Source organism: Homo sapiens, chromosome 3, assembly GCF_000001405.40.
Source record: "Homo sapiens chromosome 3, GRCh38.p14 Primary Assembly".
Lineage (NCBI taxonomy): Eukaryota > Metazoa > Chordata > Mammalia > Primates > Hominidae > Homo > Homo sapiens.
The window spans coordinates 37,795,746-37,818,130 of NC_000003.12; the positions used below are offsets into that span (position 1 = coordinate 37,795,746).

A 22,385-nucleotide genomic window follows, 5' to 3' on the forward strand; every position below is an offset into this window, starting at 1 on the left:
GCAGACTTCTCCTCCTCCTCAGTCAATCTTCTCCTTTCACACCACCTCCTTTCTTACTGAAAGCGTGGATCTAACCTGGGGAAACCATTTCCCCCGCAGCCCTCTCACGGGGGCTTTTTCCTTGTACTCCCACATTCAGTTATCTCTTCTGACCTAGATTCATTTTGCAGTGTACTTTGCAAAATGCAAATCACATCACTGCCCTGCTCAAAATCCTCCAGTGGCTTCTCATTCCTCTTAAGGTAAAGCATGGAGATCTTACTGCAGCCTCCAGCTCCTGTCTCTCCAGCATATCATGAACATCTTCCCGCTGCTTCTTGTTCATCCTGTTGGCTCCAGTTCACTGTCCAATGGCAGTGTCTCACCCTTGCCAAGTTCACTCATGCCAAAGGGGGTTTGCACATCATGTTCCCTCTCCTTGGAATGATCTTCCCTCCCTTGTTTAGCTGGTAAACTTCTGCTTGTCCTTTCACCTTCAGCTCAAATGGCTCCTCAGGGAACTCTGTTCACTCCCATGCCTCTATCATGAGGATCTTTTATCATCATGAACTTCTCCTTTGTAGCACTTCCACAGTTATAATGATGCATTTATTTTTCTAATTGACTAGTAGTCTCTAGAAGCTGGAAGTTCTGTGAAAGCAAAGACTGCCTGTTTTATTCATCAATGAATTTCCACAATGTCTAGCACATAGGAGATACTGCAGACACATTTGTTGGTTGGTTGGATGGATGGATGGATGGATGGATGGATGGATGAATGGATGGATGGAACGACGGACAGACGGATGGACAGAGCAGATGGACAGGTTGATTGACAGATGGATAGGTGGTGGATGGGCGGATGGACAGATGGATGGATGGCCAGGACTCCCCCAAAAGATATAACATTTGCAAATATATTTTTGAAGGAGAGAGAAAATAATCACACTCAGAGACTCCACTTCAAATCCCACATCTCTTTTGTTGCAAACTGAGTCGTGTTCATACTTCATCTGATTTTATAGCAGAAATGATGTTGAATGTATTAATTTGTATATTCATGAATCATATAATGAATCAGTGCCTTGGTTCAGGTGACAGGAATGCATGCATTCATGTCTTTATTGTATACAAATCACAGTTTACTGGAGTCCGTAGACAGGAAGATTTATCATTACCTTAAAGAGTGAGAAGGACCTAGAACTGGGACTCTGAAGTATACAGCTGTGGTTTTAAAACTCTGTTTTGTTGGAGCCATGGGTTCCCTTGAGTTTGTTCAGTGCAGCTGAGGTCAGGTTAGGGAGGAACAGGGCTTAGAAAGAGGGGCTGGGTCAGGTGCAGTGGCTCACCTGCAGAACTTTGGGAGGCTGAGGCATGCAGATAACTTCAGCCCAGAAGTTCAAGACCAGCCTGGGCAACATGGCAAAATCCTATCTCTACAAATAATAATAATAATAATTAGTTGGCTGTGGTGGTGTTTGCCTGTAGTCCCAGCTACTTGGGAGGCTGAGGTGGGAGAATCACTTGAGCCCACCTCAAGTGATTGAGGCTATAGTATAGGTTGAGGCTATAGTAAGCCAAGATTGTACCACTTCACTCCAGTCTAAGCAACAGAGTGAGACCCTGTCTCCAAAAAATAAAAACAAATGGGGGCTGAGTAGTCTGGGTTCTAGCTGCCCACCTAAGAAGCTCCATTGTATACACTGGGATGCTATAGGAGGTTGAAAATCACTATGTTTCCAAGAGCTCAGAGAATGATTAATTCTGCTGAAAACAGGAGTAAGGCAGGCTTCTTGGGAAAGCAGATATTGGAGCAGAGTCTCTCCTTTAAAAAAATAAAATGGTTTTACTTGCCTTTAAAATGCTCAATTTAAAAAATAGTAAAACGTAGAAAAGAGAAATAATATTCATAATATCAAAAAAACACCTGTTTACTTTAAAGGGTTCCTACTGTATTGCTGCAAAGCTGAAGTCTTCTACGTATTAGATAATCTTTTTATTTTTTATTTTTTATTTTATTTTTTTGAGACTCACTGTGTCGCTCAGGCTGGAGTGCAGTGGCACAATCTCAGGTCACTGCAGCCTTCACATCCTAGATTCAAGTGATTACAGGTGTGCGCCACCACACCTGGCTAATTTTTGTAGAGACGGGGTTTCGCCATGTTGGCCAGGCTGGCTTGAGCTCCTGGCCTCAAGTTGATCCACCCGCCTTGGTCTCCCAAAGTGCTGGAATTACAGGTGTGATCCACCATACCCAACCTATTTATTTTATTTTATTTTATTTTGGACGGGGTCTTGCTCTGTCACCCAGGCTGGAGCGCAGTGGCACAGTTACAGCTCACTTCAGCCTCGATATCCCATGCTCAAATGATCCTCCTGCCTCAGCTCCCCAAATAGCTGGGACGACAGTTGCATGCCACCATGCCCAGCTAATTTCTGTGTTTTTGTAGAGACAAGGTCTCACTATGTTACCCAGGCTCATCTTGAACTCCTAGGCTCAAGCAACCCTCCCACCCTGGCCTCCCAGAGTGCTGGGATTATAGGCATGAGCCAGCATCTTCTGATTTTTTAACTTAGCATAATAAACATCATTTTCCCACATTATTACTATGTTTTCAAAAGTATCTAAAATTTGGAAATCAGGCAAAAAGATGATTACATATCCTTTCAGTGTCATACTGGAGCATCCCCTCGCCCCTTTCTACTCAAAGTGTGGTCCACAGACCAGCAGCATCAGCATCATGGGGGAGATTATTTGAAATCTAGGCTCTCAGGCCCCATTCTAGACTCTAATTCAGAATCTGCATTTTAATAGAGTTCCTCATGTGATTCTTATACACAGTAAAATTTGAGAAGCACTGGTGGAGGTCCCAAATTCTGTAAAGTTACCTATTAACTTACGGAAGGCTGATAAGTTATAAATGACTCTTGCCAGTAAAGATAAAAATGATTTCTGTTTGACTGAAAATATCCCAAAGGTTAGAATTTATTGCCTTGTAGGGTATTAGCCAGTTTTGTATTTGATTTAGTAATCTGATTTCAGTAATTTTTTTCCTGTGACTACACATTTTTTTCTGGTCTTTTTAAAACTAGCTTTGCCACCCTGCTGACTTCCTCAATAATAAATTAAATAAATCTTTGCCACGTATTCACTATATATTTGTATGAGAATCATGTTTTTAACTTTTTGAAAATTATGCTTTGACAACCAGCTTTCTGTCATCATTTTTAATAGTTCTGTGGTATTCTATTTTGTGATTGACCATAGTTTACTTATCTATTGCCCTAATGTTAGACACTTAGGATATTGCTAATTTAGTACCAATATAAATAATTCTGCAGTGAACATCTTTGAGCATAAAACTTTTTCCGTATTTTATATTTATTTCCTTTGAGTAAGTTTTCAAGTACTGAATTAATGGATCAAAGGGTATGAACATTTTTATTTTATTTTTTAATTTTTTATTTTTTTAAGACAGAGTCTTGCTCTTTCACCCAGGCTGGAATGCAGTGGTGCCACCTTGACTCACTGCAGCCTCCACCTCCCGGGCTCAAGTGATTCTCCTGCCTCAGCCTCCCAAGTAGCTGGGACTACAGACATACACCATCACACCTGGCTGATTTTTGTATTTTTAGTAGACACGAGGTTTCACCATGTTGGCCAGACTGGTCAAGTATGAACATTTTCAGATGAGCAATAATGAGCTTGTCAAATGGACAAGGATGGAAGGGCATTTCAGGAGGCAAGAGCAGCCTGCAGAGAGGCTGGGGACCACCGGTCTCACAGAGGAGAGGCCTCTAACTGGCTAGAATGTAAATATGTGTCCTGGGAGCAGCTGGAAAGGCAGGAAGGAGACCAGAGTATGAAGGCCCTGGTGTCCTGAATTAGATGCTCAGCCTAAAGGAAAGTCATGGATACTGTAAACCGAGAAGTGACATGATGAGACCTGTGCCTTAGAAAAACAACTCTATCAGCAAGGAGGCCTTTCCAAGCCTCCTGAAATAGTGCTGGTGAGAGAAGACGAGATGTGAGCCAGGAGGTACCTGGGATGGAAACAAGAGGATGGAGAGAAAAGTTGTTTAGAAAGGTGTAGGGGCTTAACCAAGGATCACCCAGCTCATTGGTGGTGATGACGGGACCTGATCATCAGTGCTTCTTGCCTCTCCATGTCGTCCATGCTGCTGTTCCTTCCTTAGAGTTTTGTTTTTTAATCTAAGATATGACTTCCTAGAGCTACAGGACACTCAGCTCATCACTCACAGATGAGTTTGAGAGTTGTGATGTGAGAGAACAGGCTCTGCCAAAGCATGGAGCACGCATCCAAGGGGATGAACAGCATCCCTAAAAATAATAAGAGATGAAGCCCACATTCCGGGGAAGTGACAGGGCATTCTTGTGGAACTTGACAGACTAAACTGTAGCTGCTACTTTAACCTCTGTGTCCACAAAACCAGACCTCCAACGTGGCGTTGCTGGTATGCAGATTTCAGTGTCCCTAAGAAGCCATCTGGGTTAGCACAGGGGGCTGGGTTTTACAGCTAACCCCGCTGAGCTCAGTGTCTCAGTCTGATTCATAGTCAACAATAAGGTTTAGCAGACTTTTCTCACACCCAGGTGCTTTCACAGAACTGCCACATTTCCCTATCAGACCGCCATTTCACAGAGGAAGAGAAAGTTGGTTGCCTACGGTTGCACCAGGACCAGATTAAAGCCAGCGCTCCTCCCTCTCCATCTTTCCTAACAGTTCCTCACAGTTCATCTGTACAAGACACCATGAGAGATTCCAAATGCAGGAAGTGATTTGATCCACAGCTTTTTAAGGGCAGGAACCCAAAGACATGAGTCTGTCTGCCTTTAAAGATGAGAGCTGCTCATTTGAACTAGATAGAAAATAGTGGATTTAGGATGACAGACTTCAGAGCCCACTCTGTCCTACCACCTCCTACCAGTAAATGTTCTTCCCTGAGAATTGCCTATTATCTGAAAATTGCTCTTTTTAATAACCCCAAGCTGGAAATAATCTCCATGCCTATCAATAATAGCATGAATAAATAAACAGTGGTATGTCCACACAGAGGAATACTGTACAGCAGTGAGAGTGGACATGCCACAGCCTGGAGCAATTTCCCAAACATAACAGTGAGAGAAAGAAACCAGATGCATGCCTGTAATCCCAGCACTTTGGGAGGCTGAAGCAGGTGGATCACCTGAGGCCAGGAGTTCGAGGCCAGGAGTTCGAGACCAGCCAGGCCAACATGGTGAAACCCTGTCTCTATGAAAAATACAAAAATCAGCCGAGTGTGGTGGCATGCGCCTGTAATCCCAGCTTCTTGGGAGGCTCAGACAGGAGAATTGCTTGAACCCAGGAGGCAGAGGTTGCAGTGAGTTGAGATTGCCCCACCGCACTGCAGCCTGAGCAACGGAGCAAGACTCCGTCTCAAAAAAAGAAAGAAAAGAAAAGAGAAAAGAAATGAAACCAGGTACTGTAGTTCATACATCATCATTCCATTCATAGCAAGGACCCAAAGAAGCAGGTGATGCTAATCCAAGCTGTTAGACATCCTTGGTGGGGGTGGGGACTGGAAGGAAGGGGGAAGGGAGCTTCTAGGGAGCCGGTCACCTTCTGTTTCTTGATCTGAGTGCTGGTTACACACATGCATTTAGCATTTGGTATGTGAAAATTCAGCGAGCTATACACTTAGGATACCTATACTTTTCTCTATGTATATTCGACTTCAATAAGTAATTTTTAAAAAGTAAAAAGAGCTGGGAGTGGTGGCTCATGCCTATAATGCCAGCACTTTGGGAGCTGAGGCACAAGAATTGCTTGAACCCAGGATGCAGAGGTTGCAGTGAGCTGAGATTGCACCACTGCACTCCACCTGGGTGACAGAGAGAAACTCTGTCTCAAAAAATAAAATAAAAACTAAAAAGTAGCCAGCCATGCACAACCTCAAAAAAAACTCCCTACAATGATGCTAACAGGAACACTCCATTTGTCAAGGGCGGACTCTGTGCCAGATGCTATGCTGGGGACTCTGTGTGCATTACCCCTTTTCAATTTCTGGGAAGGCACTGTTCTGCTCCTGTCTTGCGGATGAGAAAACTGAGGCTCAGAAACTGTGGTGGCCTGTGTGTCCATTTGCCTCATCCCCTGGCACACGCACACACTCTCCTACCCCAGCTGCGGGAATGGAGGCAATGAAGTAGAGGTGGTCTCATTTTCTTTCCTTATCACCAGGGAAGAGCCAGTAAGTAATTCATTCAGTTGACAGGTAGCCTATAAAGAAGGCCACTGTCAACCAGGCACTGCAGTGTGGTGATGACAAGCTCAGATTTGGGGGTTTGGGGTTGGCTAAGAGCTGGGTTCAAATCGTGACTGTGCATTTGAACTACACAATCCAGAGCAAATATCCTCTCTGGACCTCCATGTTCCCCTCTGTAAAATGGGTGTGGAAGACCTCATAGGGCTGTTGTATGACTTAGACAAGAGATTGCAAAAAAAAGCATAAACTGACACAGACAATATTCAATAAGTGTTAGAGAGGGATGGAAGCCAGGCCCTAAAAAGGTTAAATAAGCAGTGCTAGGCATTATAACATCAGTATTGTGCCCAGTCACTGCTTGGGCTTGAGCAAGGGGCTGGACCAGTGGGCTTCAGCGATCAGTGAGGCTTCTTGACAGAGGATTGAACTAGGTTTAGAAAAGACTTTCCCAAAGGGGAATGGACATTCCAAAGAGATGGCAAAGCTTGGAGAAAGACCTGTGGTTGGCCAGCCTGTCTGGAGCCAAAGGAGAGAATGACTGCCCAGAGCTGTGATTTTTTTGTCTTTTGCAGTGAGGAGCTTAAATGGGACAGTGGTGTATTGGGGAGAGTTATTTGGTAGCAGAAGACGCAATAGATGCTTTGAATTCTGCAAAACCAAACTCCCCTGTGACCAGTGGGGATAAAGCAGAGCCGAAGGGGACAATCAGAAGTGAGCACTGATACATGTTTAACAATCAGTTCTCTGGCAGGAGGGTAGGGGTGCCCTGATTTGTTTGCCAAATACTCCCACCATAGCCCATTTCAAACTGCCATTGCAATGTCACTAGGTACGGAGTTAGGAAGAGATGCACAGTTGCCTCTCATGAGCTGATATGAGCCAGTTCCACATACCACTGGGTTTCAGGAAAAGTTGGGAAAACTTGCCTCATTGGAACATGGGCTCCAATTGCTGTGGCTCCCATGGGAAACTACAGTACAGCCTCTCGAACGAGTTTCTCCAATGTGCTAGGCCCTACCATGAGACCCAAGACAGACTGTGTCCTAACTCTAGTGGGGTCCACAGTCTACTGGGGAAACTGGCATTAATCAAATAATTCCTCTAAGTGACACATTGAGCTGAACACTTGGAAAGAAGAGCTGCCTTACATGCAGAGCACTCCCGTGTTCTTTGTTTCAAAGCTGAAACAAAAGGTACATTGTCGTTATCTGTTCTGAATCAAGAACATAGTGTGTCCTCTAAGTTTTTCAGTACACTTTTGTTCACTTCATGATATTTAAATCAGGGTTGTTGTCATTACAACCCTTTCAAGACCTAGGGCTTGGATTTCAAGTGCCTTTTCAGGTGCCAGTGAAAAATCCATCAGTTTGCAACCAGAAAATCGTTCAGCGGAGCTTATGTATTTATTTATTAGTAACAACAGTCTGGATACTTCTCTGTAGTTCTCTCCAAATGTCAAGCCCAGGCTGGGCTCCATCATGCTCTGCGCACTTCTGTTTAGGAAACGTTTTCAGCTGGCACTGTGGCTCGTGCCTGTAATCCCAAAACTTTGGGAGGCCGAGGTGGGTGGATCACCTGAGGTCAGGAGTTCGAGACCAGCCTAGCCAACATGGTGAAACCCTGTCTCTACTAAAAATACAAAACATTAGCCAGGCACCTGTAATCCCAGCTACTTGGGAGGCTAAGGCAGGAGAATCGCTTGAACCCAGGAGGTAGAGGTTGCAGTGAGCCGAGATTGTGCCATTGCACTCCAGCCTGGGTGACAGAACAAGACTCTGTCTCAAAAAAAAAATAAAAAAGGAAATGTTTTCACTGTTGCGTTGCCTCCTAGGTGGTCTTCGAGGCCCTGCACAATCTGGAGCCCCGTGGCTACGTCGTGGGGTGGATCATCGCCATCAGTTTGTTGGTGGGAATCCTCATCTTCCTGCTGCTGGCCGTGCTGCTCTGGAAGGTGAGTCTGGTGATTGCAGGTCCCCCTGGGGTCCCCACTCATAGATGCCCAGCTCTCCTGCCTTTCCAGGGAAGAAGGAGTATCCTGTTAGAGCTTCCTTCATGGCACCGGTACAGTGAAGGACAGTGACCCTTCAGGCAGGGAGTGGAATCTTGGCTCCCCTTGAGGCCATTCACAACTGAGGATTTGGACCACTTCAGAGTGAAGGCAAAAGTCTCAGTTCTCTCTTCTCTTACCTTCCCTTAGAGCCCTAACATAGGATGGTGAGAACCTAACTCCAAAACAGAAGTCTGGGGAGCAACTGCCAGAAGGGGGCGATTTCCCATTTGCTTAAAAAAGATCAGAAGGCGAACTATAGAACAATTCTTCCTTCTTTTCCTCTAAGGAATGTGAGGAAGATTTCTGACCAGAAAACTTGAGTAACTGAGATGGGCTACAGTCCAGAGTAGCTTCATCATAACTTCTCCCAACCTCATGGTGGTTCATTTGGAGGTGGCCCAGGGTGCAGACCTGTCCTGCCTCAAGCATCACTCTCTCAAGGAGAAAGGGGTGTCCTCATCCCCATGTCTAGGATGATTTGTTTGCCTCACACTCTCCTTTCAGAGACCCGGAGTCCTTTTCCTTCAGAGCCTCTCTATTCATCAGTAATGGTATTGGAGGCTTTAGCTGATGAAGGTCTGTCTCTTCCTTGTTTCCACTGTGTCCCCAGCTCCAAAACAGCACCAGGGACCATAACTGCAACTTCCTGACACCAAAGTCCATACTTCTCTAGAATTACAAATTTCAGATGTAGGTGAAAACAGCCTCTTAGAGTATTATAGATGGATATTTTAAAATAAGACAACTAATTTCTTTGGGATTACAAAATAATATGTATGTATTGACCTAACATAACATATCAATTACCAAAAAAAGTTGTAAAACACCAGGAGTTCACATCCCAGAAATAACCATGATGAGCATAGTATTGCCTCATTTTGACCTTTTTCTCTGCATATATAGATATAGACCAGGCATTCTCATAACATCAACTTATTTTTGAATAGTGTATTAGTTAAATTTTACAGTAATATACTCAGCATATTTTCAGGTGAAGTACCTCTAAATTTAAAAGCAGTGGGTTCCTTTTTTTTTTTAAGTATGGGGTCTTGTTCTGTCACCCAGGCTGGAAGGCAGTGGCACAATCATAGCTCTAACTCCTGGGCTCAAGCTGTTTTCCTGCCTCAGCCTCCCAAGTAGCTGGGACTACAGGCATGCACAATGCCTGGCTCATTTTTTTATTTTTTTGTAAACATAGGGTCTCACTATGTTTCTCATACTGGTCCTGAACTCCTGGCCTCCAGCTATCCTCCCACCTCAGCCTCCCAAAGTGCTGGGATTATAGGTGTGAACCAACGCACCTGGCCTGGATTTGATTTATTAATCTGGGAAAAACGTATACCTATTTTTCCCTGAAGACAGTACTGTGAACATCTTTCCATATTGTTCAAAGCACGTTTCCAGCACATCTTAAAGCTGTAGAGTGTCTGCAGTCTACTCATCCAGTCCCCTGATACTGGAATTTAGGTTGCTTCTGTTTCACACTTCTTTTAACAGTGCCACATTAAATATCCCTGGAGCCAAATATTTGCACAAATCTTTCATTATGTCGTTAGGTTGAAAGCCTAGAAATAGAATTGCCATCAAAAGGAGTGTATATTTTAAGCTTTTTAAAAATTATATTTATTTTTTTATTTTGAGATGGAGTTTTGCTCTTGTCTCCCAGGCTGGAGTACAGTGGAGTGATCTCAGCTCACTGCAACCTCCCCCTCCCGGGTTCAAGCAAGTCTCCTGCCTCAGCCTCCTGAATAGTTGGGATTACAGGCGTCTGTCACCACAACCAGCTATTTTTTTTTTTTTTTTGTATTTTTAGTAGAGACCAGGTTTTGCCATGTTGGCCAGGGTGGTCTTGAACTCTTGACCTCAGGTGATCCTCCCGCCTTAGCCTCCCAAAGTGCTGGGATTACAGGTGTGAGCCACCCCGCCCGGCCTAAGCCTTTTATTACTATTGCAGATTGCCCTGTAGAAAGGTCATACCAATTCACCCTCCCACAAGCAGTGTATCAGAAATGTCTGTTTGCCAATAGTGGATGTTACCTTTTAAAAACAATCTGCCAATTTGTTGTTTATTTAATCCACATCGCCAGATAGATTCTTAATTCTCCTTTTTCTCCAACTCCAACTCCTTCCTGCTGAGACAGCCTCTGGTTTGTGGGTGGAGAACAAAGCCTGCTCAGTGTTTGGCATCTGAAAAGACAAGGCTTCTTGCTGAGTTGAGGGCTTTGGTGCATGAGTGTGTGTGGGTGTGTGTGTGTGTGCGTGCGCGTGTGTGTGTGTGTATGTGACTTCCTTCTGCCTTTATATGGGCTCTTAAAATGAGAGGAGCTGTGTCCTTTATGGCTGGGTGTGTGGAACCAGACAGGGCACAGAGTGGGGAGTGTTGTGGCCGTGCCCCACTTCCCCTTATAGTCTGCATGCCCTCCTTCTGGCCGCCCCACCTGGCTCTGCCTCTCAGGGGTGTCCTGTCTCCTCTGCACAGCCCCTGCCTCCTCCAGCCCACCACCTGCTTTGCCTTGCTTTTGCTGTGTTTGTTTAAAAAAGCATGGTTGCAGGAGATGCTGTCATGGGTGGGGAGAACCCTGAGGTCACCCAGCTGTGTGGGATCCAAAGAGCCAGGACCTGAGAAGGCAGACTCTGCCCTCTGCCACAGACTGGGAGGGAGAGGGCAGTCACGGCCGCCAGGGACACACCGTGTGCCCAGACCAGGGCTTGCCGTAACTAACGGGTGGCAGGAAAGCTTTGAGGAGGCTGTTGAATGAGGCCACCTGGGTCACAACAGCTTTGCTAGTCAACCCAGAGCAGTATCTCATTTCGGCTCACATTTCTCGAACGCTTACTTTGCCCCAGTCCTTGCTTTGCCTGGACTAGGCACTGGGATGCAGCAATAACTGTGCCCTTCCCTGCACTTGACCGCCTCACCACCTAGCAATAGACCTGCAGGCATAATGGAGGGTGGTGAGTGCTGCGCAGTAACTGCTCTGGAAACTGAGAAGAAGGTGCCATGAGTCCCCCTCCCTTGCCCCCAAGGAGGAGGGAGGATTAAAAGGTCACAGAGAACAGTGTGGTAGATGAGAGCAGCTTTCAGGCTGACAGCTGTGGGCAGCAATCCTGACTCTCACACTTGCCTGACATGAGGCCTTAAGGGGGCTGCTTACCTTCTGTGACCCTCAGTTTCTTCCTCTGTAAAAAGGAGACCATCACCTCCAGTTTGGTATGTAGAGGTTATGCAAGGAAAATGTTTAGCACTGCGCTTAGCACACAGAAGCCAGGGGATATTTCATAAATGAGGTGTCATTCGAGTCTGACCTTTAGTGTGGTTTGAGTTTTCCAGGCAGGGAAGGGTAGATGAAGATTCCATCCAGAGGGAAGGAAGAGGTGGGAAAATAAGCAGGGTTTGTGGAGAGCAGCTTGTAAAGTTTGTCAGGGCAGTCACTGACCTGCAGCAAGACCGTCTGCCACAGTTGTGAAGGCCACTGCTAACCAGGACAAAGGGGGAGCATGGGAGGTCTGTGAGCAGAGCGGTGGCATGACCAGATCTGTGTCGAGAGAGAGATCTGGGGCTGGGTGCAGTGGCTCATGCCTGTAATCCCAGTGCTTTGGGAGGCCAAGGCCAGAGGTTTACTTGAGCCTAAGAATTTGAAGTTGCAGTGAGCTATGATCATACCACTGCACCAGGTGGTAGAGCAAGACCCTGTCTCTAAAAGGAAAGAGAGATCTAGGGACAGTGTGGGGGCAAGAGTAGGGCCATTGCCATGGGTCAAGGTAGGACAGGCAGGGTTTGCTGACCAGTTGGACTTGAGAGGTCAGGGAGAAAAAAAGAATAGCTGTCTCTCCTTAAGATAAGTTCAGACAAAGGATGGGTGCCCTTAATCAGGGTGGGGAAGGCAAGATGCGAATTAGTTTGGCAAGAGGAGGAGCTTGGTGTTGGGCTTTCTGAGTGAGTGGTGCTTAGAGGAGGCTAGGAGACAAGGCTGGGCTTGCCTCACTCCCTGTCGCCCCCACCCAGCAGAAGGAAGGTCAACAGAAGGAAGCCCCTTCTCTCTACTTGGCTACACATCCGCATCATTCTCTTCCCACCGCAGACCAGCTTTCTCTATGTTTCCCTACACATCGTAGGGAGATAGTTGCCTCCAGCCCCTCCAAACTTGCATCTCAAGGACTACTAGCCACAGACGCAGAATGATCAGCCACCTCTGATTCCTGGTCCCACATATCTGGGAGAGAGGATCTGCCTGGCCCAGCTCTAGTCAAATGTCTACTCCCATCAACTGTGGAAGGGAGGAAGGGAGTTGGGAGGGAGAGAATCCACCTGGCCCAATGTGGGTCATATGTCTCCCACGGAGGCTAGTGGGGGAGAAAGATGCAGGATGGTGGTTTAGGGGATACTGGGGAGGAGACTCTCAGAAAAGAAAACAATTAGGCAGGCACCCCAAAGGAGTTCGCTCCTGCAGGATTTCATCGTTGTTAGTGCTGCTGCTGCCTGAATTGCAGGCTGTTGTATCATACCAGCTAGCTATGCTGCATACAAACTGCCCCCAAATTGAATGGCTTTTCACAACCATTACATCTGACAAATTTCTGGGTCAGGGATCCAGGAAGGGTTTGGCGGGGTGATTCTTCCGTCCCACATGACATTGAGTGAGGTCACTTAGTGGCATTTACCTGGTGGCTAAGCTGGTCTTCAGAGTTCAAGACAGCTTCATTCTCATGCCTGGCACCTTGGTAGGGACAGCTGGAAGGCTGGATTCAGTCAAGTCCTTCTTCCTCTCCATGTTGACTCAGGGCCTCTCCATGTGGTTCTTCCAGCAGATGGTCTGACTTTTTATGTGGTGGCTTAGGCTGAAAGAGAGCGCTGCCAGTTGTCTTAAATGCTAGCCCACAGCTGGCATAGCATCATTTATTCTGTTGGTAAAAGCAGTCATATGCCAGCTCAGGTTCAAGAGAGGGGAAATAGACCCTGCTTCTCAATGAGAGGAGTGGCAAAGCCTTAGTGGCTGTCTTTTATCTGTCACATACATGATGTTCGAAATATGGGCAAAATCTTTTCTTTTTTTTTTTTTTTTTGTGGCAGTCCCACTCTGTCACTCAGGCTGGAGTGCAGTAGCATGATCTTGACTCACTGCAACCTCCACCTCTTGGGTTCAAGAGATTCTCCTACCTCAGTCTCCTGAGTAGCTGGGATTACAGGTGCCTGCCACCAAGCCTGGCTAAGTTTTGTATTTTTTGTAGAGACGGGGTTTCACCATGTTGGCCAGGCTGGTCTCGAACTCCAGGCCTCAAGCGATCTGCCTGCCTTGGCCTCCCAAAGTGCTGGGATTACAGGTGTGAGCCACCGTGTCTTTTCCCTAAAAGTCACTATTACAAACAAAAATTCGCCTAACTAGAAGTTTTGTTCTATTTTAAAGTAGATGAAACCTCATCTCTCTCCCATAGTGTCATAGATAAAATCACAGTTGAACTCCTTTGGGGAAGAGGAGGCAAACAGAAAATGTTGGTGCAGCATTTATGTCAGAGTGTGCAGTCTGTTGAGGCAGTGTTGTAATGTGATAAGGGGCTTGGTGGAGGGGATTTCTTTAGGGAAAAAAATTTTTTTTTCTCAAAAGGCTAACTATGACTTTTGAGACTTATAAAGTCTCAAAAGACTTTATAAGAGGTTAAAAGGGCAATTGAAATGTAGGATTATTTTAAAGACCTACGTATTTCTAGAACTTCAACTACAGACCTCTTGTTAACTCTGATTCCCATGTCTACAACCTAAGAATGATACATTATGTTTAGTGAATAGTGATTCGGTATCACACTGACAGTACGGTGCAGTAACCCAAAGACCTGTTAATTGATGGTCTAAACTCCAGCCTCATATTTGACTTATACGGGAGGTCTTAATGTTTCCGGCTTATTGCCATATTCCATATGTAATTTCCTCCATTCCTTTCAAGGGGAAAGCCACTGAGTGTTACCCAGCTGCCACTGCTGACCGGTTGCCCACTTCACTGAGGGCCTTTGAAGACAGCGGTTGGCGGGGACAGTGTTGAAGTCCTCTTCCCTTTACAGAACCGTGGCTCTTGAATGTCCTTCTAGAGTAGCTCTTGGCATTGCTACCTATGGTCATTTGCTGCTGCCTTGAGGTCCGGAGCCAAAAGTGGTTGTTCCCAAAAGTGTTGCATAAACGTGAATCGTGACATGGTACTGAAAGCTGAGCAGAGCAGCTGGCCATGCCGCCGCATTCACAGCACCACACAAGCCTGAAGGTCTGCATGCTTTATGCTTGCAAGATGGCCAGCACCTTCACTAGGCAAAGAGTAGTAGGTCCCTACTAGGTGGCAGGCCCTGGGCAAAGGGACAAAGATAAATAAACAACAGCCCTCACCTAGTCTGTTTCTTTTTTTTTTTTGACAGAGTCTCACTCTGTCACCCAGGCTGGAGTGCAGTGGTGCAGTCTTGGCTCACTGCAACCTCCGCCTCCCGGGTTCAAGCAATTCTCCTGCCTCAGCCTCCTGTGTAGCTAGGATTATAGGTGTGCGCCACCATGCCTGGCTAATTTTTGTATTTTTAGTAGAGACAGGGTTTCACCATATTGGCCAGGCTAGTCTTGAGCTCCTGGCCTCAAGTGATCCACCCACCTTGGCCTCCCAAACTACTAGGATTACAGGTGTGAGCCACCATGCCTGGCCTCAACAACAGAGCCCTCACCTAGTCTTGAAGACCTTTAGGAAAATCAGCTTCAGCAAAGCCCTGAAGGTGAGCAGGACTTGGCCTGTGCCACCAGCCCCTGGCCCCACCTACGCATGCACTGTGGTGCTACTGTTTACCTAAATCAGAAAGCCCTTATCGTGTCAGCAAGTGTCTTTTCCAGAGCTGAGCTCCAGGCTCCCTGCTGATGTGCTCAGCCAGACCAGCCCCTCATCTGCCTCTGACCCTGTGCAGCTCCTGGCGGCCTTCAAGAAAGCCCATCTGCTGGCATCTCAGGCATCTTCTCATGCTTGGCGGCAGCAGGCCCTGGCTCTGACACAAAATCCACAATGAGGGCCCCAAGCTAACCAGACCGCTCTTCAAATTCTGAAATGGATCCTAATCAGCTTTCCCAAAGCTGAGATGTTAGCAGACACTGGGAGCCATAATTTAAACTTTATGTGCGAGGATTACAGTAGCCAGCCAAACCACCATGCAGGAAGAAAACTTTGAAATATGAAATGCTTTTAAAGGAAGAAAAGTCCAAATGAGTCCCCTCTCCTTTCCTGCAGCTCCTGACTGGGTTGGAAGATGCCTGGGCCTGGCATCTCTTCAAGACAATCATAAAGGCCTGTTTAGGAGGAGAAAGTTAAATTGCTCAGAGGTGCAGGAGGGATAACAACTTTGTGTGTGACTGGCACCTTTAAGAAATACCTTCAGCTTATATAAGCCAGCCTGGTTTCTGTGGAAAGAATGAAGATGATGGGGTGTTTCTCCTTTTGAAGAAAGACACCCCCCTTCCCTTATTTAGGGCTCCAAGCTCTTCCCTCCCTGTCTTTCTCTCTGCTTCCCTCTCACCCTCCTCCCCTCCCCAGCTCTGTCCTTGTTTGTTTGCAGTTTGCCAAAACATACAGGCCACCACTCAGTGAAGGAGAGAGACCATATCCTCCCTCACTGCTGTCAACCAAGGACCCTCTCTCTCCCATTTGACCCTTTTGCAAACCGAGATGGTTTGGAGCAAAGGGAAGTGAGACTGCTTGGCCAGCCCTATGGCCATGTCTTCCCAGGAGGCCCAGGACCTACTTGCTCAAGTGGCAAAGAGACAGGCTGCAGAATGTGTTTGCCAGCCCTCTGAAAAGGGCTGCCTCAAACCCTCTATCAGCTGGGGCTGTTCCAAGAGCCTGCTGCTTTAGGACTGGCTTTGGGCTCATGGTTTTTATTTGAGAGCATTACTTCTGACCTAAGGCAGAAACACTTAGAAAACAAATCTGTGAAATGGCTCAGAGAATGTGTAAGGTTTGGCAACCCCTCCAGAGGTCACTGGGTTATCACCTTCCCTTCAAACTGGGCTGGGAGGGCATCCTTGCTTCTCCTCCAAAGAAAAAAAATGAACAGACACATGCCCATGTGCTTGCACACACACCCTTCACACTGCCTCAATTAGAACCATGTGCCAATGACATTCAGTGGGGGCTTGTTTATGCTTGGGAGTAAATATTGGGCTGATGTTGCACTGTCGACATCTCGAGACAGAGACATGCTATGTAAATAGTCAAGTAACTGAAGAGAACTATAAACATGAAGTCTTGAGTTAGTCCAAAAAAGGAATTTGTCCCAGGTCCTCAGAATCACTGTCTAGGAAGCAACCCAAAGGCCGCGGAGTGGGTAGGATCCCCCAAGAGACCAGATGTCATGGTGTTGTCCAGCTGGTCCCTCTCACCCTGCAGGGGGCTGGGGAGGAAGAGGCTGCTGCTGCAGGGTGGATACCCCAGAACTCAGTCAGGCCTCATGCCTCACGCAGCACCCATCTAAGTAAGGCTGTTTGGGGCAATCTGTTGTTTCCCTAGGAGTTTTCTGGTTGCTTTTGGATACATGGTTATATGAGAAAATTGTGTATGTCTGTTACGAGGGTTCAGGGAGCTGCTCTTTGGAGCTGCAGGACCAGCAGACACAAAAACCAGAAAGCACACTGTTCCTTCGGCTTCCAGCCAAGCAAAGCTTGGCTTGAGTCACCTCCTCTAGGGTTTCTATGTTTCTTCTGCTACAGATAGAACAGTTAACAGAGCCGCTTGCCCCTCAAATGGTGAAGCAAGCACTGGAAGGTTCCAGAAAAAATGCAGAAAAACATTGACTCCATTGGCTTGGAAGTGAGTGTGGGGCTGCTGGGCATCCAGCTTAGCCCATCATTAATCATTTCCCAGCACCTTCAGGGTGGGCTCAGCTGGCAACAAAAACAGAGATTTGCCCAGTGTTTCTCAAAGCTCTCCCCAAGGCACCCATGCGTGCTCACATGAGCGGGTGTGTATGTCTGAAGGAGGCCTACTTAACCTTGGGATGTGCTAATTTCCCAAGTGTAGGGGGACTTTGGGTCCTGGCAGTAATGGAATAGGTAGGACTGGCTATGAAGTACTATAGCAGGCTGAAGGGGCTCGTGGGTTTCCTGGCATGTGTATGAAGAGTTACAGATTTAGACCATGTATCTCTTAAGCAAAGGAACTACAGGTGCTCCTTGACTTATCATATTTTAAGTCAGAAATGCATTTAATACCCCAATAAACCCATCATAAAGTCAAAAAACTGTTAAGTCGAGGTATGGTAACTTGGGGATTATTTGTACTTGTTAGATCATCAAATTCAGAGTCACTATCTTTAGTTTAGTGTTTATCTTTAGTCTTTAGTTTTTATATTTTATCTTTAGCCATTATCTTTAGTTGAAGTCATTATCTTTACTTAAGGGGATGACAAAAACCTTGCTAAATTTAGTTTTTCACTTCCTCATTCCTGATTGACATTCTATTAGAAAATGTTAGCTAGGAAGACCTGTTCTTTATTTATTGACTTGCATTTATTGAGAACTGTTGGGAATAATATTGTGCCTCTAGGGCATTTAGAAGATAACATGCTTTTTTCTGGTTCTTGCAAATTACTTTCGGTGACTTGTTCTCATGGGTTGCTTATTTTGAGTTTTTATTTTTAGAGAACTGATATTTTTTCTGTTCTTGATGAGGTAATCAGGCAGTCTCTATGTTACATGAGTTAAGAGTCCTAGACTTACTTAGCAAGTCCTCAATTCTGACACTTATTATAAGACATCTGATCCAGAGCTGCATGTTCAACTCCATCAAGCCTTGCCTACTTTCCTCATCGGTAAAATTGACCTTAAAATCCCACAGTTCAAAAGACTATAAAAGTTAAATAAGTGAACATAACTGCATGTGTTTTGTGAATTCAAAGACCTCATAATCTTTTAAAATATTATTAAATTCTGTTTTATTTGTTTCTTTCAAAAATTAACAGATTTTTAAAAATTGAAAATTGAATTTTCAAAAAATTTCTCAAAAATCTTTGAGAAAAATTGAGATGGGACAAAGACTCTGTGCCTTGTTCCCCCTTAGTGTGAGTCCTGAGTACCCAGCTGTGTGGCCCACAGTCTAGAGCCTTGAATTCACTTTGGGGAAAACAGAAAAAGCTGTCATGATGTTTCAGGGCTGGAAGAGGTCTGAGAATCCCATTGATCTCTTAGGCAGAGACGAAGACACTATGGCTCGAAGCCAGAAAATAACCTTCCCAGGCTGGGCGCGGTGGCTCACACCTGTAATCCCAGCACTTTGGGAGGCCAAGGCAGGCGGATCATCTGAGGTCAGGAGTTCAAGATCAGCCTGGCCAACATGGTGAAACCCCATCTCTACCAAAATATAAAAATTAGCCAGGCCTGGTGGTGCAGACCTGTAATTCCAGCTACTTGGGAGGCTGAGGCAGGAGAATCGCTTGAACCCGAGAGGTGGAGGTTGCAGTGAGCCAAGATCGTGCCACTGCACTCCAGCCTGGCAACAGAGCGAGACTCCATCCCCCACCCCCCCAAAAAAGAAACAATATTAGTTTGACAGAGCCACCACTAGACTATAGGGTACCTTTGTGCAAACTATAATAGTAAATAGCACCGCTTCCTAAAGACTCTTTACTTCCATCTGTCAGAAAAAATTCAGAAAACTCTGATTTTATGAGAACAAGACACTCTACTGCCATCTGTTGGAAAACAGTTATAATAAACTTATACACATACATGATATCTGTGATGTGAGTGGTATCCCCCAGCCCCTTAAATGCAGTGTAGCACCTGCACTACTGTACCTACAACTCCCTAGCCATGAGAGTGCATTATGTTTTAAGAAATGGTCTTCAGACTCTAAAAAAAGGAAGACATACATCAGTGGTAGCTCTGATCTCCCATCCAAGAGATTACGCATAGGCTGTGTTAGGAACAGGACTGGAGACCCTGCAGTGTTAGAGTGGGGCATAGAGCTTGCAAGGCTGTTTCAGCCAGGGGTGGGTGGGGGTGATTTTCAGGCCTAATGCTGACACCACTCCACTGAGAGAAAGAAGCTTGCTTCCGGGTGCCTGCAAGAGATGACAGTGCCTTCACCTTGTTGTTAGCAAGAATTGCATACATAAAAACTTGAGCACATGAAAGCCACATGTAAGAGTGAGTTCAGGTGCTCTAAATCCTTTCCAGATTGTTAACACACTGTCTATGTCAAATCCTTACACTAGCATAGTGATGAGAAAGTGAGCCAGCTTTTGCTCTTAGAGATGAACAAGAGAAGTCTGGTTCAGGCCGGGCGCGGTGGCTCACGCCTGTAATCCCAGCGCTTTGGGAAGCCAAGGCAGGCGGATCACTTGATGTCAGGAGTTTGAGACCAGCCTGGCCAACAAGATGAAACCCCGTCTCTACTAAAAATATGAAAATTAGCTGGGCAGGGTGGTACACGCCTGCAGTCCCAGCTACTCGAGAGGCTGAGGCAGGAGAATCACTTGAACCTGGGAGGCAGAGGTTGCAGTGAGCCGAGATGGCGCCATTGCACTCCAGCCTGGGTGACAGAGTGAGACTCTGTCTCAAAAAAAAAAAAAAAAGTGAAAAGTCCAGTTCAGCAAGGCACACTAACTGATGCTGTTTAAATCTAGAGCCCTATCAGCTGTCTGTCTGATTCATTAAGTCAGCAAAAAAAATATTGAGTCTGTACCAGTTAACTTATGCTACTTGACAAACCACCCCAGTATTCAGCGGCTTAAAAGCAATATCCATCTATGCAGGTCACAGTTCTGTGGGTTGGCTATTTGGACTGAGCTCAGTGGGGCAGTTTGAGCTCAGCGAGACTTACATGTGCCTCTGCGGGCAGCTGGGAGTTGGCTAGTCTGGGAGGGCTTCAAAAAAAACTGGTCTCTTAGCAGGTTAGACATAGGCATTTGTGTGGAAGCAGGGCAGGGTTCTGAGAAAGTAATTGGAAGTGTGCACAGCCCCTTGGGGACTGTGTAACAGACACAACATCTCCTCCCTCTCATCCAATTGTCAAAGCTAGTCTCAGTGGAGAATCAAGGCTGGGAAAATAGACTCCACCTCACGATGGGAAGAGCTGGAGAGTCACATGGTAAAGGGTGTGGAGGGTATGTGGGCATCTTTGCAATTTATCGCTGGTACCAAGGACAGGTGAGATGCTGAGTACTGGGGATTGAAAGCACAAAGCCTGCCTTCAAAGAGTCCTAAGACAAATGCAGGAGATAATAAGGGGGCAGACTGTTAAGTTTCTGCTTGATAGTGCCATGGTAGGGAAATGTGACTTCTCTGGAATTACAACTGAGTGACCTGGGATTATTGACACATTACAACATCAGCAGCCAAAGGTATGTGCTAGAGAATCCTATTTCCCTGTTACATCCTTCCACAGTTTCATGATTACATTCTCCTTCATGGCATGTGACCAGCCACATCTGGCCATGTTTTCTTAGCCAACCACATCTTTATCGCAAAAGAATGACATTTCAAGCAGTAGCTTCTTAGATTTCCATTCAGTCTTGGTCCGTTTTTCTGGCCTTCTGTGGGTGTGCTGTGGGGATGATGTCTATGACTTTTTCTTAATTATCCAGAAAATTCTGGCCAAGCACCTTTTCTTGCAGAGGGGAGAAGGTGAAGAGGTTTCAGGAGAGAAAAGTATATGTGTGGGGGCGTCAGAACATGGCATTCTGATGAATGTGGTCTTATGCTGGGAAGAAACCTCCAGGGCTGAAATCACCAGGAACTCAATATCTGTTTACAAAACTGGCCTTGAGGATTGAAGCTCAGAACACAAGACTCTTGCCAGTTGTTCTAAGAAAGCTTCTGCTCTTTCCCAGTCATTCAAACTGCACCACCTTATCGACTTCCCCTCACGGTGAATGCTCAGGATCTCCTTGGCAACGTGGGTGAAGATACCTGCTGGCTCTCTTGACAGTTCTCGTCTTTGGCTTGGCCAATAAACCCCCTTTAGGGAAGTAGAAAGATGGTGGCAACAGACAGCTCCTCAGCTCCACCTGCCTTCCCTTCTTCAGGGGAGCTTATGACCATCAGGGTGGCTGTGATGCTTCCCTGGATGTTTGGCTCACAGTGAAGAAGCATGAGGACAAATACACAGACAACAAAAACATTTGATGTGCCCATGACAGCTGGGTTTGCTTCACGATTTGTGTAGGACACGTCTTATATGTGCATGCACTGTTGGCAGCAGACTGCAGAGAGTCTTAAGGGTTTTCCAGTATGACTTGGGAATTGCAAGCTGATGATACCATGGTACCACAACCTGCAGTGTGGCAAGCCTACCAGCACCAGGTCAAGTGTGTGTCTCTGTTTGATTTCCTCTATTCAAGGGGATTGAAACAATGATTTGAGGGCAAGTCATTTATTTGGAAGGTGATCTCAGGAAAAACTGTTGGAGAGCAGGGAAGGAAGCCAATAAAAGATTTGTCATCAAGCTGGTTACCTCTGCAGGCAAGCTCCATGGGGAAACTGGTAGAACGTACACCTCAGGGTTATCCCACCCAAGGAGAGAGGGAGCTGGGGTATTTGTACACCCGATACAGTCAGCCTTGTTTAAAGGAAGATGCAGAGAGGAATGTCTGACCTCATAAACAGAGCCCACCAATGTTAGTGAGCCAAGGACGAGAGATGCCGAGTCTCTCAGAGCATGGGAGGAAAGGTAAGCTTTGGGCTACAAACGTTGCTTCACTGTTTGGTGGTGATGACTATGTGAGAAAAACTAGACACTTGTCTTACCATATGTGAAAAGTTGTAAGACCAAATGTAACATCAAAGGGCAGGGTCTTTTCAGAACTAAGCTAGAGGAAATTGCCATCCTGGGTCAGGATGAAACGCCCGTTCTAAGTGAGAATGTGCTGCTGACTGTGGTGCACAGACAGCACAAATTCCATGGGTTTGAGAGAAAGATGTAAATGACAGCAAGGTAGAATGCAGACCTGCAGACGCTTTAAACAGCCTCTCACGTGAGAGCAGTATTTATTAAATTATTCCACAGATGGCTAAGATCTCTCAAGATACTAGGTTTATCAAAAGCCAAATAAGCTTGGGGAATGTCAGGTCCCTGGTTTT

General features: G+C 46.0%; 1 protein-coding gene and 1 long non-coding RNA gene across 3 annotated transcripts in view; one reads left to right on the forward strand and one right to left on the reverse strand.

Annotated features, from left to right (window-relative positions):
* ITGA9 (integrin subunit alpha 9) overlaps positions 1-22,385 on the forward strand; it is a 371,367-nt gene that overhangs the window by 343,605 nt on the left and 5,377 nt on the right. Inside the window, exon 27 of the mRNA NM_002207.3 lies at positions 8,078-8,197. Within this exon, the coding sequence (NP_002198.2) occupies positions 8,078-8,197 (120 nt within the window). The remainder of the gene's footprint in view (positions 1-8,077; positions 8,198-22,385) is intronic.
* Positions 1-22,385, reverse strand: part of ITGA9-AS1 (ITGA9 antisense RNA 1) — a 108,092-nt gene that overhangs the window by 42,057 nt on the left and 43,650 nt on the right. The window lies entirely within an intron of this gene.